The following is a 17,295-nucleotide window of genomic DNA, read 5'->3' on the forward strand; positions in this document are numbered from 1 at the left end:
TTAGGTAAATGGGGCAAGAAGAGCATAATGAGTTCATCCTTGAGCACACTAAGACATCAAATTGGAGGTGCTGAGCAGGTAATTGGTGAGCAGAAGCCCCAGAAGGAGGCACGTATTTGAGGAATGACTGGGTCTATATAGTGAAAGCAGGCTTGAGATACTTGCAACACTGGAAAGTGACTGTAGAATTGAGGCAGTAGAATAGGGTCGGGAGGCAGGAAAGCTAAGGCCAATTCATGCTGACTTCCTAGAACTAAATCAAAAGGAAACCCCAACTTTCCATACCTAAGTAACAAAAGAACCAGAGGCTACTCCCTTTGCAACCCCCACCCCCTTTTTCTGCGTGGCAGACGGAAAATTGAAAGTATCTCTGATTAGTTGCTTTTTGCAACCAATCAGACATTTGCATGGGAGTGTAACTTTGTAACTTCACTTTAGCCTCTGATTGGTTGCTTTCCACAACCAATCAGATGTTTGAATAGGGTGTAACCTTTGTAAGTACACTTCAGCCTCTGATTGGTTGCAAGGCCACTAGTTCATTTACATAGTAACCAATGGGAAATATACCAATGGTTACTTGGGAATGGCACCAAGTAACCAGTGGGAAACCTCTAGAGGGTAATAAAATCCCAGAAAATTCTGTAAAGGGGCTCTTGAGCCCCTGTGCTAGGGCCTGCTCCCACCCTGTACTTTAGTTTTCAATAATGCCATCATCTCCGGCATCTGTGAGTCTATTGCTTTACATGGCAAAAGGGACTTTGCAGTTGTGAGATGCTGGATTCAGGACCTTGAGATGGAGAAATTATTCTAGATTAACCAGGTAAGCCCAATTAAATCCTATGAAATCTTAAAAGTGAAGAGCCTTTCCAGGCTGTGGTCACAAAAAGATGTGAAGATGCAGGAGTGGTCAGAGAGATACAACAGCGCTGGCTGTGAAGATGAAGGTAAGGGCCATGAGCGGAGGAATGCAAGCAGCCTCTGAAAGCCGGGAAAGGCAAGGAAGTGGATGCTCCCCAAGAGTCTCCAGAAGGGAATGCAACTCTACTGACACCTTGATTTTAGTCCAGTGAGACCCGTTTCACACTTCAGAACTACAATAGTGTACGATAATAAATGGGTATTGTTTAAGCCACCACCAAGTTGATGGTAATTTGTGACAACAGCAAGAGAAAACTAGCACACCATAGTTGATCTCATCAAATCTTCACAGGAACCCTAAATGAAGTACTAACTTCAGTCTCATTTTTGGGAAGAAGAATCTGAGGTTGAGATCACATAATTTTGCAAGGTCCCATATTTATCAAGTGGTAGATGCAGGATTGAACCGTCAGTTCCAGAGCCACATTTGTACTGCAAATTCACATGAGCTCTACAGTATGAAAGTGTGTGGACCCTTGAGGGTCCCCTACAAGTCCATGCAGCAATGCACACACATCTTCAAGGATGCTCTTGCCTCCTCCAAAGAGCCCCCTAGCAATCTCTGCTTCATCATCATTCAATTCTGAGGCTGTGTTGTGTTTTTTTGGGAGCCCTCTCCAAATTTGCAATGAGGCCACATGACCCCTTCATGCATCAAGGACGTTCACATGCCTCATCACAGCACTTATTATACAGTGTGATGTGATTTTGTGGCTGTCTTTCCACTAGACTGAGTTCTTTCATTTCCTGCATTGCAAGCACTACCTCTCTTTGGCCAGAACATAGCACTATGTCTGGTACATAGCTTACTAAAATGCAAGTTCTATGAGGGCAGGGAGGTTTGTCCATTGTTGTACTCCAGTGCCAGACTATTACCTGGCCCATAATAGCTACACAATAAATATCTGTTGAATGGCAGAATTAATGAATAGCAAGTTCTCAAATACGCAGAGGCTGAGGGTCAATAAACCTATAAAAATAATAATTTAAGCCAGGAGGAGGTGTCATCCTGACCCCATGTAGAGGGGCTGGCCTTAGCTAGGAGGAGATACATTTCTAGCATAACAGGATATAAATGTTATCTATATAGTATTTTTTTTTTGAGACAGAGTTTCCCTCTGTTGCCCAGGCTGGAGTGCAGGGGCATGATCTCGGCTCACTGCAACCTCTGCCTCCCGGGTTCAAGCAATTCTCCTGCCTCAGCCTCCTGAGTAGCTGGGATTACAGGCACCCGCCACTACACCCAGCTAATTTTTTTTTTGTTTTTTTTTTGTTTTTTTTTTTTGTTTGTTTTTTTAGAGATGGAGTTTCATGATATTGGTCAGGCTGGTCTAGAACTCCCGACCTCAGGTGATCCGCCCACGTCGGCCTCCCAAAGTGCTGGGATTATAGGCGTGAGCCACCACGCCTGTCCTATATACTATTTTTTTTGAGACAGGGTCTCACTCTGTCACCCAGGCTGAAGTGCAGTGGCGCAATCTCAGCTCACTGCAACCTCTGCCTCCCGGGCTCAACCAGTCCTCCCATCTCAGCCTCCCGAATAGCTGGAACCACAGGTACACACCACCACACCCAGATAATTTTTGTATTTTTGTAGAGATGGGGTTTGGCCACATTGCCCAGGCTGGTCTTGAACTTCTGAGCTCAAGCAATCCGCCTACCTCAGCCTCCTAAACTGCTGGGATTACAGGTATGAACCACTGTGCCTGGCCATCTATACTATTGATATATATGATCCAGAGCTATATAATATATATCGCAACCCCAGGCCACGAATTTGTACTGGTTCATGGCCTGTTAGGAACAGGGCTGCAGAGCAAGTGAAACTTCATCTGTATATACAGTCACTCCCCACCACCCAAGCTCCACCCCCTGTCAGATCAGTGGCAGCATTAGATTCTTGTAGGAGTGTGAACCCTGTTGTGAACTGCACATGGGAGGGATCTAGATTGTGTGCTCTTTGTGATAATCTAATGCCTGATGATCTGTCATTGTTTCCCATCACCCCCAGATGGGAACCCTCTAGTTGCAGGAAAACAAGCTCAGGGCTCCCACTGATTCTACACTATGTTGTATATTTGTATATAACATAATGTATACCAACATAAATTTGTATATTTAGTTATATATTACAATGTAATAATAATAGAAATAAAGTGCACAATGAATGTAATGTGCTTGAATCATCCCAAAAACATCCCCACCCTTCCCCTCACCCCCCATCCCCTGTCAGTGGAAAACTTGTCTTCCACAAAACTGGTCTCTGGTGTCAAAAAGGTTGTGGACCACTGATATATATGATGTGTATATATAGCTATGCTGTAGCCCTAGATTTTATATATATATATATATATATATATATATCATATAACATAATACTATAGTCTATTCCAGAAGGTGGTTGTGAAATATTAGGTAATGCATGCAAAACTTATAGCTTGGTGCCTGGAATAGTGGAGCACTCAACAGTGTTAGCTATTAATAAGGCAAAGGCAGCTCACTGTATTAGTCAGCATAACCCATGCTATGCTGCAGCTCAAACAACACCCAAATCTCAGTGGCTTAACACAAAGAAGTTTCTTTCTCACTAATGCTACATTTCCAGTGTGGGTCAGTCAGTTGGAGGATCTGCTCTACCTGCTCAAGCAGGGGCTTAGGCTACATATGGAAGTTCAACTACCTTGTAGCAACATCATATACAACACATGACCTCTTTGGTTGCTGTAGCAGGGCAAGAGAGAGAGGAAGTTAGAAATGAAATGTTTCAGGCTGGGCGCAGTGGCTTATGCCGTAATCCCAGAACTTTGGGAGGCTGAGGCGGGTGGATAGAGGTCAGGAGTTCAAGACCAGCCTGGGCAACATGGTGAAACCCTGTCTCTACTAAAAATACAAAAAATTAGCCAGGCGTGGTGGTGGGTGCCTGTAATCCCAGCTGCTTGGGAGGCTGAGGCAGGAGAATCACTTGAACTCGGGAGGCGGAGGTTGGAGTGAGCCGAGATCGCACCACTGCACTCCAGCCTGGGCAACAAGGAGAAAACTCTGTCTCAAAAAAAAAAAAAAAAAAAGATATAAACGGAAATGTTTCAGGCCACAAGTAACATGTTTTTCCTTCTCACAACCCATTGGCTGGATTTAGTGTCATGTGCCTCTGTGCACTGCAGAGAGGCTGGGAAATGTGGGAGAGCCAGTGGACATTCAGTGAGTAGTAAACAGCTCTGCCACAATCCCTGCAGTCAGATGGTTTAAGCCTGTGGAGCCACCTCCCTCATGTTGGAGAAGGCAGGTATAATTTTATATCTCTCAACAGTCACGCATGCTTTCGGTGTCGCCTTCATACACAGCCAAATATTCCTCTGCTCCTTAGGAAATCATGTTGATACACAGAAGCCATGACACGTCTGACAACGTGCACAAGTCTTAGCAGTTGCCTCTATTAATTCAAGTTGTTATTCATTTCTGGAGCATTGTATGTCAACTAGAAATAGAGGCATGTATGAACAAGGAAGACGTTTGATGGATTATGCTTCCTAGCTGTATTTGTTTCTTTCTCGACAGCATTCAACAAAACGTCCAAGGCTTGCAATTTTAAGTAGCATTACAATGCAGCTGCCATCGCTGTTTGTTTCTCTATATGGAATCAGATAAACAGGTGTGTCTCTACAAACTCCGCTGGGAAATCCCATAAGCATATACATTTACAAAACAGATTCTAATTACTTCTTTGATTTCTAAACTTTTTTAGTGCAGTTCTAGGATATATGATTTGAGGACTCATAGGTCCAAAGCCAGGGAGTTTTATTCATGAACAAGAAACAGAAGGCAGGTACAGTCTACTGCACATTTTATTACGCCAGAGAAGAAATTTTGCACTTTCCTTCCTCAGGGTAGAGTTTCAAAAGAAGAATTTTGAGGTGTCTGTGACAGCAGTTGTATGAATAGGTAATGTCCTGAATGACTACTTTGAAGGATCATGTACTATGATGATAATGGCTTAGGTTAATATCTCTTATTACTGCTAGATATTGTTCTAAGCACTCTATGTATTAACTCTTTAAATTCCCGTATTACAGAAGAGAAAAAGTTAAGTTGCCCATGGTCTCTCAGCGAAAACATGGTGGGGGCTGGGATTTGAACACAGGAAGCCTGGTTCCAGAATCTATGTTCCTAGTAACTACACTCTACTGCTTCTTGAAAGAGCACAGAACAGCAGTCTTCAGACTTTTTAGCTTACACATCTTCATTTATAATCAACCAAAAGCCAGAAGACATGAGAGCTCATTAATGTAGCCCATGCAAGTCAGCTTTCCTGGGTAGATATCTAGCACTAGAGGCGATCAGCTGGTGCACAGACTCAAGTCAGAAGATTGAGGAATGAGGCTGAGAAAAAAAGCCAGAGATCAAGGAAGATTACTCAGCAGAAGCAATACATGTGTATTTATATATTTGTATGCATGTGCTACTGTACTACTATATTGTGTATATTGTAAAGCATACACAAAAAACAAAAGATTTTAAAGGGTGAGATAAACATAATTAAAAGTTATATTATTTGTTTTGTTCCACCAAGATGGATTGTCTTGAGCATTCCCTAGGGCAGGGGTCCCCAACCCCTGGGGCTGCAGACCTCTACCGGTCTGGTCCATGGTCTCTTAGAAACCGGGCCACACGGCAGGAGGTGAGCAGCGGTAGAGCATTACCGCCTGAGCTTCACCTCCTGTCAGATGAATGAAGGCATTAGACTCTCATAGGAGCACAAACCCCATAGTGAACTGTGCATGTGAGGGATCTGGGTTGCCCGTTCGTTATGAGACTCTAACTAATGCTTGATGATCTGAGGTGGAACAGCTTCATCCCAAAACCAGCCCCATCCTCCCAACATTCCCCACCCTCTGGTCCATGGAAAAATTGTATTCCAGGAAACTGATCCCTGGTGCCAAAAAGGCTGGGGGCCACTGCCCTAGGGGACATGCACCCCAGTTTAGAGAATAGGCTTGGGATAGCACAGTTTTGACTACAGGCTTTATCACTTACTACTTTAGTAATCTGGGCAAGCTGCTTACTCTCTGTCTCTGATTCTTCTTCTGGTAAATCAGGATAACACCTCCTAATTTGCAGGATTGTTGTGTGGTTTAAATGATATGATGTGTACAAAACCTGCAGTGTCTGGTTTTCAGCAAGCTCTTTACTTATTACTTATTTTCTCCCAGAGTTTTAATTCCTATTATTTGTGTTTCATGGGCTGTGTTTTTAAAATTTCATTGCTTCCTACCCACTCCTGTAATTAAGCTGCAGGCAGCCCTGCAGTTAGACATGGTGCATCTAGATGGAGCCAGATTAATAGCTTTTTCATGCTGCATTATTGCAAATATGGCACAGCTGTGTCTCTGACAGAAAAAATTGAGGAGGAGACATCTGGAAAAACCTATGTGCATTTTACTTTGTGCAAAGCACTATAGGAATTGGGAGGGAGGAAGAAAGGGAGGACTAACTGACTGTCAGACACTTAAAAATGAATGGCCCAACTGTTCAGCAATTGTATATCTGTGAACAGAAGCTCCCTTTTACATCAGCTGTTAGTCACTGCCCTTTGTGATTGGGAATCAGGCTTGAAAATTCTGAGTGTATTTTGAGCCATTTTTATCTATGCCTTTCTGTGGGCGACTTTTTCCTAACAGGGTCCCTTGAAAAAATTCAGTCTCATTTACTACCATTCACTAAAAATTTCACCTTTGATCCCAACTCTGAGTTTTTTTTTTCCTTCTTTAACCCCCTTTTAGAGTGTTAAGTCTGTTGGGTTTCTTTGGCACAAAGTTAACCAGAAAAGAAATGTCCTTGAAGGCATATCAACCAGGTTTCCAACTAACAGATTACACCCTCTTGTTAGGATAATTTGAGAAGGATTTATTTATAAAAGAACTAATTTTGAGGGGTTGGAAGGAGATTGGGGCAACCATGAGGCATTGTGCAGAAGATCCAGGGATAACAGCATTAGACCTGTTACTATTCTTTGGCCCAAAGAGAGAAAGGAATGGAGAGTTTATTAGAACTTGGAAGGAAAGAGAGTTGTGTAGAGCAGTATATCTTGAGAGAAACAGTGAATTTCTATTAAGGAGCAAGCCAACCCAAGATGTCCTTACAGAAAGGGGAGAATAAAAATTCTGACTTTACTCTACTCCCTCCCTCCATTCTCCTGCTGTGATTTCATTGGCCAAACCCAACCAGAAGCTAGAAGATATGAGAGCTCATTGATGTAGCCATGCAAATGAGCTTTCAAATCAGCTTTCATACATAGGTATCTAGTATTTGAGGCTGTCAGCTGGTGCACACAATCAGTGGGAAATGAAGCTCAAAAATAAAAAAAATAAAAATAAAAAAAAGAGAGAGATCAAGAAAAGCTACCCAGCAGGAGCAATCTGGCTAGGACACCACTGCTGGATGCAGGTACCGCTTTCACCATACTTTTAATTTTATTGTCCCTTTATTTTTCAGTCATAGTCTCCAGAGCAAAGTCCTAGGTGGGAGTATTCAATTGGCCGAGGCTAGTTCACCTGCCCGCACCCTGTTTGCCAAGGGGTGGGAAGAAAGAATATTGCTTGCCTTTGCCCTCCCTGGTAGGAATTGCACTTCTGCTTTTTTTCAAGACTCACACAATTAGAGATTTGTAGATATTAAGAAACAGCTCAGAAACAAGGTAGTTCTCTCTCCTCTAAAAAAAGATCAGTCTCCACTAACAGTGACCTCCTAAATCTTTATTAATCTGCAACAGGAAACTAGCAGACAAGAGTACAGAGATCTGTGTTTTTATTTCCAGTTCTCTATCTTTTCTCCCTCATTTCCTTCCTTCCTCCATTTCCTGATCGTTGGAAAGCCCCTTTATCTCTCCAGATCTTTGTATGAGAGAGCAGCATTAAGATCACCAAATCTAGTTGTAAGTTCAAATGCTGGGCCGTCAAAAAAACACATACAGGCCCACCAAATAGCATGCCTTAGTCAACATTTTCCTGGTAGAAACCTCTTGGTTTGTTGATACCTAACCTTCATTGAAGATGCATGTCTCTCAATACAATGTTGTGTTTTCCTTGGCTGCTCTTTATGTAGGAAACATTTATATTGTATTTATATCCTTAAAATGCAATGTAACATTTTTTAACAGAGTAAAAGATGAGACACACATAAGAGACTCCTCTGCACTGTGTGCCTTCTGATATGCATTCACAAGGGACAACAAATATTCTCACTCTCTGAAAAGTCCATCTACATTTTTCTCCAAATTTCCTTGCCTCCAGTCTCTAATCTTGTTCCTTCCATGTCCCTAAATATCTGGCCAAACCATTAACCCCTGATCATGATTTGGTATAGGTCTATGCCTCTGGTCTTCTCTCCCTCCACGTAAAATGCAGTGAGAGGCACTGCTTGAAGGTTTGCTCACTGGGAGCGTTTGCCGTATTCACCGCTTGGATTCGGTATAGATGCTCGACCTACAGTGAATCTTGAATTGTTGGATCCAGACCAATCTATAATTACATTTCTCAACCTTCATCAATCATCCTTACACTCTATTCCCATACACAATTCCCTGAATTTTTTCCATTATAAACTAGAAATCTGGAAGCTCTTTGGCCTTGTCTGGCTTTTGACTTTGTTATTGCTACCGTCCTCCAAGGGCCATGCTGAAATCTGACAATCTTGGGAAATGATAGAGAAGACAGGAGGATGATGAGAACTGGCTTTCTCTTGCAAGTAACTCCCTCAGGTTAAAAAAAAAAGCATCTTCAATCAAGGGAAGAACAGTTTCATCAGACAAAGCAAGAGAGATTTCTGAAGCTGGCAAAAGAGATTTAATGAGAATTAAGGGTTTGGCATTCATGGGGTCTTCTAAATCCTCTCATGTATTTCCATGTCAATTTTCCAGCTTTCAATCTAACTCAGATAATGCCACAATATCCACCTAAGAAACCTGTCAGGGCTGTGAGTACTACTGACATTGTAATTGATCAGCATGCAGGATCAAACCAAAGTCTGAATTTATCTTTGACCATCTCAGATCTGCTGAGGCAAATGACTTTTTTCACCATTAAGCTATTTGTTATAAGAAATAGCCACCTCATCAGCTGTCATTGAACTCCTCATGCCCTTTATACTATTCTTGAATCATACTCTCAATGGGCATTCCAGGTGACCATAGGCAACTGTTTAAGTTGTTTTGCAGCTGTGTTTCTAAAGTTCAGTTTACTGTCAGTCAACCAGTCCTGATTTTTAATTTTCCCTGAGAGTCAGTTGCCTGTGGCTTGTTTTGTGACACCGGTTTCTGAATCCGTCAGAGTTCTTGAGAAATAAAAAGGATTTAGTGGGATCACTTTAAGTTGACCAAATTGTTTCTTCTAAATAAATAATACATCCACACTTTGCCCCCTTCCTTTTTTTGTTTGTTTTTTGCAAACAAGATCAACCATGTTTATTTTTAAACAAGAGAAATTATAAACCAGGATATTCTTTGAAAAATTAGGTAGAAGGCAAAAAACCATCAGGGAATGCATAGAATTTACGGAAAGTCTAGAGAGAAATACTTGGGCAAAGGTGAGAAACTAGGGAAGAGAGGCAGCAGGAAATTGGGTTAGGATGTTGCTGCTGACTTTGCTGAAGTCCACAACCACTGCTGGACCTAAACACCATGGCAAGGCCTTGCTAGCCACGGGACACAGTCAGCATTATTGGTTGGTAAATCTCATCTCACTGCCTCTTTTACTTTAGTCCTTCAAGATCCAAAGCCCCAGGTGGGGAGCATTCCAGACTGGATCATGTGCCCATGACCTGGCTTAGCAGCGGGTGGAGAAAGGGAGTAATACTTTACACTAAGACTCACACAAGGGGAACTAGTTGGGGGGTGGGTTCGGATGCCAGGCAATGAAAACTTATTTTGTCTGAATCAGTAGTAGAAAGTGCTTTCATTAGGAGTCCAGAAGTTGTTTTCTATTTCTCACTTCAACACTTGCTTTCTTTCTGTTTCTCCCACCTTTACCTAATCTTAAGGAAATCACTGTACCTTTCTGGTCCTCTGGAGGAGAGAGTTAAACTAAGATATTCAGGGCCCATCTGTATCTAATCCATCTATGTCTAATGCTCTGTCATCTTAGACCTCTCACAAATCTAGTAAGGAAGGTACTATGCTTACATGAGGAGTTTAATAAATGCATACATAGTCCAAGATCGTTCCCTTTATCTAAGTGGTAGCTTTTTTTAAATGCTTATTTTAGGTTCAGAGGTACATGTTCAGGTTTGTTATATGGGTAAACTCCTGTCACAGGGGTTCGTTGTACAAATTATTTCACCACCTAGGTACTAAGCCTAGTACCCAATAGTTTTTTTTTTTTTTTTTGCTCCTCTCCCTCCTCCTACTAATGGGTAGTTTTAAATGATCATTTTGACCCAGTTTCTTATTGAATATGAAACTTTTACATATGTTAGATTCTACATATTTATGGAATTCCCCTATAATAGTTGATATTAAAGCATTTTTACCTTACTTACCCTTTAACGTTTTATGTTTATTTTAATGGACCCCTCAGTAACCACTCCACCCCAGTCCACAAAAGTTAAAATGCATATAAAAATCAAGGTGAACCTTAGGGAGAATGGTGATAAAGGAAGTTGATATTCTAGGAGACCTTAGGGTCTTATCAAGGTTGATGCATCAGTTTTACTTTACATTTCTTATCTATCTAATTATTTCACCAGTTTGATTAAATGAAGCTAAAATTGGTATTGATGAAAAGAGAAAGCACAATCAAAAAAGCAGATAAGCAAATAATTGAACGCAAATAACTTTTAATTATACTCACTTAATAAAGTTAAGGAATAGTGTCAGGTGCCAACATCACTTTGTCAAATCAAAGGGCAGTGTTGGGATGAAAAAGAAGAAAATAGTACAGAATGTGTTGAAAATTGTGGTAAATTTCAAAATTGTGAAACACTATTGTATGAATTTGGTTGAAAATAACCCTGAATCCTAGGTCGAGAATATGTTCAGACCCTCCAATGAAAACCCCACTTTTTGCATCCCTCCACACATCTTATTACTTGTAGAATTCTACTAAAGTCCCCAAGCTTCCCCAGACCCAGAGAAATAAGTGGGTTTCCAGGAATGGCAGTTACATCTGGCAGGTTTAAAATGCTTTTCCACTTGAAATTATAATGGGAATATTAGCAAATAGCTTTAACTTTAAGTTGATCAAATAGTTTCTTCTAAACTAAAGAATACAGTCACAGTTTGCTCCCTTCATTGTTTTTTTGTTTTTTTTTTTTTGTTTTTTTTTTTTTTTGCAAACAAGATCAAGCATGTTTCTTTTTAAACAAGAGAAATTATAAACCAGGATATTCTTTTTAAAATTAGGTAGAAGGCAAAAATGCTTATTTCCTACCCCCCATAGTATTTAATTTTTTGGTAGAATAATAACATATGTAAAACATTATGAAACAAATAAGAAGAATCAAAGTTATAATATGCAGATAATATGGTTCTTTAAAGTAAAAGTAAGGCCTCCTTTGTGCCCTCTTAATGAACGTTCCATTATAAATCTAACCACTCTTGTATCCTCTTATCACCATAGATTGGTTTTGTCAGTTTCTGATTTTTTTTTTCTTTTTTGAGACAGTGTCTTGCTCTGTCACCCAAGCTAGAGTACAGTGGCACGATCTCGACTCACTGCATCCTCTGCCTCCCGGGTTCAAGCAATTTTCCTGCCTCAGCCTTCTGAGTAGCTGGGATTACAGGCGCCTGCTACCATGCCCCACTAATTTTTTGTATTTTTAGTAGAGACAGGGTTTTACCATGTTGGCCAGGCAGGTTTTGAACTCCTGACCTCAAGTGATCCGCCTGCCTCGGCCTCCCAAAGTGCTAGAACTACAGGTGTGAACCACTGCGCCCAGCCAGTTTCTGAATTTTCTGTAAATGAAAAACACACTTTTTTATATCCAGTTTTTTCACTCAATGTTATGTCTGTGAAATTGTTCATATTGTTTTGCTCCCTTCCTAACCCAAAATTATCTGGATTATTTATTCTCTCTGTCTAGTTTCCTATTGCCATGATGCACATAAGAAAAAATACCTCGTAGTAATATAAACTAACCAATACATACAGAAGATGATATGTGAACAACATATACATTGGATAAAAAGAATATGGGGGTGGGGAGGTTTCAGTGACATTATTAGACACTGAAGATGATGTGTTATTTTCATATGGATTTTGAAAAATGTATCACTGATGTCTCTAGAGTCATTCTGTGTTCAAGTGATTGGGGGAACCTACTTTAGAAAATGACTGAGTTGTTTCCATGTCCCCTGTTGCTTTGAATAAACAGACTGTAATTGTAAATTTTAACTGGCAAAAAGAGTAGTGGCCATGGTAGCGAAGGGATTTTATGATCCATTTTTATTATGCATCTTCATTACACCGGAAGGCAATAATCACTCTTGGCATTTAGAGTCTTTTGTATTTTTGAAGTACTTAACAGTCATTTATTGTTTTATCTTATTTTCATCTTAAATGGGATAGGTTGGTTAGCATAACAGGGTCACAGAAGGACAATAAAAGATTAGAAACTTGTAACGTTAGACAGTTGTACTGAGGGAGAACAAAGTTCCTGGCTTTCACATTATTTAGGCAAAAAGAGAAAAGAAGAAAGAAGAAAACACATCATAGGTCTTCAGTAAGAAGCACTGTTTCCTTTTTATTTTCCACTAGTTTAGACGACAAGAGTGTGATTTCTTTGTTTGTTGTTTTTTGTCTTTTTTTATTCTTTATTTTATTTTATTTAAATTTATTATTTTCTTAAATTTCACTTTTTTTTTTTTTTTTTTTTTTAATGGAGATGGTGTCTCGCTCTGTCGCCCAGGCTAGAGAGCAGTGGCACTATCTCGGCTCACTGCAACCTCCGCCTCCCGGGTTCAAGCAATTCTCCTGCCTCAGCCTCTCGATGCATAGCTGGGATTACAGGTGTCCGCCACCATGCCTGGCTAATTTTTGTATTTTTAGTAGAGCCGGGGTTTCACCACGTTGGTCAGGCTAGTCTCGAACTCCTGACCTCGTGATCCGCCCGCCTCAAAGTGCTGGGATTACAGGCGTGAGCCACCATGCCCAGCCTGAATTTCACTTTTAATACAGCTCTGGAGTGGGGTGGGGGTATGAAAGAAAGACGGACACCTCAACACTTTTATTTGTAGGAAAGTGATTAGAATAAGCCAAGAACTGAGCCAGGGATGGGGCCTCTCACCACATGTGCCAATGGTAGTAGTTAACAAAAGCTAACATTTATTGAACACTGAGCTAGGTACTGTGCTACAGTACTCTCTATTCATTATTACATTTCATACTCACAACAAAGCTATGAGTAGGAGCTGCTAGTACTGCTTGCCAGATGATTCGCTTACTTCTTAATGGTAATACATTGCATAACAATGAAGGTGACCTGGAAATCCATGAACTCCTTGGTTCCCTGGAAGAAATGGTGAACTCCAGTTGAAAAATTCTGGAGGAATAAATCAATAATGGTGAATATGTAGCACCTATGACCTAGGCTCCAAACACTCAACAAAGCCCCATGAAAAGGGCTTGTTTCTCTTGAATCTTGAAGACAGGATTCCCATGGTCTATCTTCCAGACCCTAAATAGGTCCCATCTTTACAGGCCACAGAGTTGTTACCAGTGGAGCAGCCTTGAGAGAAGAAGGCTGTGTTTAATCATTAGCTTAAGGTGAGGGCAGAGCCCCTGCTTAGTAGATATAGCCCAATAAAGCAATCAATAGCAGGTCAAGAGCACCTCCCAAGTAGGGTCTGAAGAGAGGCACCAACTACAAAGATGGTTTCAAGTTTCACCAAAAAGTAGAAATGGGCAGAGAAGGCATTCACCAAGCAGTGACTTTTGAAGCCATCCAAGACATGTTTCCTGGGCTCAAGGGGAGAATATTGCCATGAAAATTATTACTGGGACAGTGCTCCTAGACCAAACCCTGGTCAGTAGAAAGCAATGAAAATGATCTCATGGGATCCCCATCACTCAGGTCCTGGGAGTGTCTGGTAGTCACAGGGAGCATTAGGGCTGATTGTTGAGACACTGGTGAACTTTGAACCTCTGTGATTTCCCTGTTTGCTCTGTGCCTGATAGCTTTCAGTCTGCTAACAAATCTCCTTTATGCAGTTTAACCTCTGTACTTCCAATGGGGAGGAATTGGAATCAGCCTATGGGAGAAGAGATAGCTCTAGGATTCTGTGTGGGAACTTGAAGAGATAAAAGGGCATCCTTGAAAGAGAACCTCGTGCTTTGCATCTCAACTGCCTCTGACACAAGGTTGGGTCATTAACCATATTTATTTACCCCTTTCTTACTTCATAAATTGTGTTGTGCATTTCCTAATCTTGTCTTCTGTGCAGAAATTTACCAGATCACAAAATAAAAAGAACCAGGTATGGAAACTTGAGACTTTTGTCCATATCTAAGCTCAAAAAATTCTGGATTCTGCTTAAAATCAATAACTTCCAGGGCAAATGATTAACAGAATAATGATTTCAATGGAAATGTGGTCTATATGACAAGAGAGAAGCGAGATTATACTTGAATTTGATGATTGGCATTTCACACTCTGTTCAGAATTTTAGCCTTTATGAAGGACCCTGTCTACCTTCTTCAAATGCCTCAATTGAAAGGGTATGGCAGGAAAAGGGATGGAGAGGGGGTCAGAGATAATCCTCACTGATTTCACAATTTCCCCTAGGGCCCACCTGTTTGAATAAATACCTAGTGGTGATGTAGCAAGAAAACACCCCTGAATCAATATTTTTAGACAAACTACCATTACCATTACCATCTGTTAATTAGAAAGTAACTCTCAGATCGCTTGAACCCAGGAGGCAGAGGTTGCCATGAGCCGAGGTTGTGCCACTGCATTCCAGCCTGGGTGACAGAGCGAGACTCTGTCTCAAACAAACAAACAAACAAAAAACATAAAAAATAAAAAATAAAGTAATTCTCAGATTCTCTGTAAATCAGGAGCTCTTTTGGTGATATATATATATACACACACACACACACACACACACACACACACACACACGTGGAGAGAAAAAAAGGAGCCAGCTAATGGGTGATTTCCTTTACTATAATAATTCTAATTTATTTCTTATTGCCAGTTTCCACACAGGTCCAAGCCGCAAAACAATACCGTCTCACAACAGAGCAGAGCTTTACAGCTTATAAAACATTCTGGGAATATTAGAATATTAACACATGAAGATTTTTGGGTCCTTCAGCACGTTAGATATGACCTGGGACATAGAGGACTCTTAAGAAAAGAGAAATTGGGCATCCACATGTGGAAAAAAAAACTCAATCTCAACCTCAAGCCTTAGACAAAACTCACAGTGGATCACAGATCTGAATGGAAAATGTAAGGCTACAACACTTTCAGAAGACATAGGGAGAGAATCTTTGTTACCCTGGGTTATGCAAAGAGTTCAACAGCATGATCCAGAGAAAGGAAACAAATGGTAAATTGAACTTGATCAAAATTTAAAAATTTTGCTTTGTGAAAAACATAGTCAGGAGACTGAAAAGACAAGCAACAGACTGGGAAAACACATTTGCAAGTTACATATCCAATAAAAGTGTTGTATCCAGAATATATATGTAGAACATTCAAAACTAAACATTAAGAAAATAAACAATTCAAGTAAAAAAAAAAAAAGAAGAAGAATAGGGGTCAGGCAAGCTCAGTGGCTCACGCTTGTAATCCCAGTGCTTTGGGAGTCTAAGGCTGGAGGACTGTTCAAGACCAGGAATGTGAGACAAGCCTGGGCAACATAGTGAGACTCTATACCTACCAAAAAATTTAGTTTGGTGTGGTGGCACACACCTATACTCCTAGCTATTTGGGAGGCTGAGGTTGGAGGATCGCTTGAGCCCAGGAGGTCAAGGTTACAGTGATCTATGATCACACTATTGTGAAACCGCCTTTGCAAAATTATGACAGACAGTGAAAGAAATCTAACTTAACCGAATCCATCTTGCTTCTAACCTTCAAGCTGTCCTTGTTCATTGCTGGGCATAGGCTGAACTAATTTTGGGAGAAACTTAGTTTATAGTTTATGGTTTAAACAAAGACGGTAACACCCCTTTCCCAAAGTGACCTCCTTCCTGCCTGGGGACTAGACTTCCTTTGTAGGACTAACATTAGCCACAAGATCAGATGAGCCAGTTTATTGATCTGGTGGTGCCAGCTGATCCATCAAGTGCAGTACTGATACCCCAAGCACTGATTTTAGGAGCAGTTTAGGGAGGGTCAGAATTTTGTAGCCTCCAGCTGCATAACTCCTAAACCATATTTTTTTTTTTTTTGAGGCGAAGTCTTTTTCTGTCACTCAGGCTGGAGTGCAGTGGTGAGAACTCAGCTCACTGCAACCTCCGCCTCCTGGGTTCCAGTGATTCTCCTGCCTCAGCCTCCCGAGTAGCTGGGATTACAGGTATGTGCCACAACACCTGGCTAATTTTTGTATCCTTAGTAGAGACAGAGTTTCACCATGTTGGCCAGGCTGGTCTCGAACTCCTGACCTTAAGTGATCTTCCCACCTTGGCCTCCCAAAGTGCTGGGATTACAGGCATGAGCCACCGTGCCCGACCCTAAACCGTAATTTCTACTACAAAGGCAATCTAGTCCCCAAGCAGGAAGGAGGTCTGCTTTGGGAAAGGGCCATTATCGTCTTTGTTTAAACCATAAACTGTGAACTAAGTTTCTCCCAAAGTTAGTTCAGCCTCTGCCCAGGAATGAACAAAGACAGCTTGGAGGTTAGAAGCAAGATGGACTCGGTTAAGTTAGATCTCTTTCACTGTCTCAGTCATAATTTTGCAAAGGTGGTTTCAATTGCATTCTAGCATGGGTGACATAGTAAGACTCTATCTTCAAAAGAAAAAAAAGGTAGGTAAAATATTTAACAGATATTTTACCAAGAAAGATAAATGGACGGCAAATAAGGACACAAAAAGATGCTCAGCATCATTAGCCTTTAGGGAAATGCAAATTAAAACCACAATTTGTACTACATAACTGTTGGGGTGACAATGAAAAATATTTGCAATACCAAATGCTGGAAAGGTTGTGGAACAAACGGACCTCTCATGCATTACTGCTGAGATTGCAAAATGGTATATTAACTCTGCAAAACCGCGTGACAGTTTCTTCAACAGTTAAACATAACATATAACTACCAGATATACAGCTATTCTACTCCTAGATAGTTACCCTAGATAAATAAAACTTATGTTGACACAAAAACCTATATGCAAATGTTTGTAGTAGCTCTATTTACAAACTCCTCAAGCGGGAAAC

At 40.8% G+C, this 17,295-nt stretch overlaps 1 protein-coding gene across 1 annotated transcript in view, besides 3 other annotated features; it reads left to right on the forward strand.

Moving 5' to 3' along the window:
• Nucleotides 1–17,295, forward strand: part of OTC (ornithine transcarbamylase) — a 95,245-nt gene that overhangs the window by 1,568 nt on the left and 76,382 nt on the right. The gene's annotated exons all lie outside the window — the stretch shown is intronic.
• Nucleotides 2,689–2,881: a silencer, noted in NCBI's record as "fragment chrX:38191193-38191385 (GRCh37/hg19 assembly coordinates)". NCBI's record gives its function as "represses an EF-1alpha promoter that drives an FKBP-Casp9 reporter gene in an ReSE screen in HepG2 liver carcinoma cells {active_cell/tissue: HepG2}" and the evidence as "EXISTENCE:reporter gene assay evidence [ECO:0000049][PMID:32094911]".
• Nucleotides 13,970–14,114: an enhancer, noted in NCBI's record as "145 bp enhancer 122 fragment used in the MPRA reporter construct; PK_construct_1733". NCBI's record gives its function as "activates an SV40 promoter by MPRA in HepG2 cells {active_cell/tissue: HepG2}" and the evidence as "EXISTENCE:reporter gene assay evidence [ECO:0000049][PMID:23512712]".
• Nucleotides 14,035–14,048: a transcriptional cis regulatory region, noted in NCBI's record as "HNF4 motif; enhancer activity is reduced when this motif is scrambled". NCBI's record gives its function as "necessary for full MPRA enhancer 122 activity {active_cell/tissue: HepG2}" and the evidence as "EXISTENCE:site-directed mutagenesis evidence [ECO:0005528][PMID:23512712]".

Source organism: Homo sapiens, chromosome X, assembly GCF_000001405.40.
Source record: "Homo sapiens chromosome X, GRCh38.p14 Primary Assembly".
Lineage (NCBI taxonomy): Eukaryota > Metazoa > Chordata > Mammalia > Primates > Hominidae > Homo > Homo sapiens.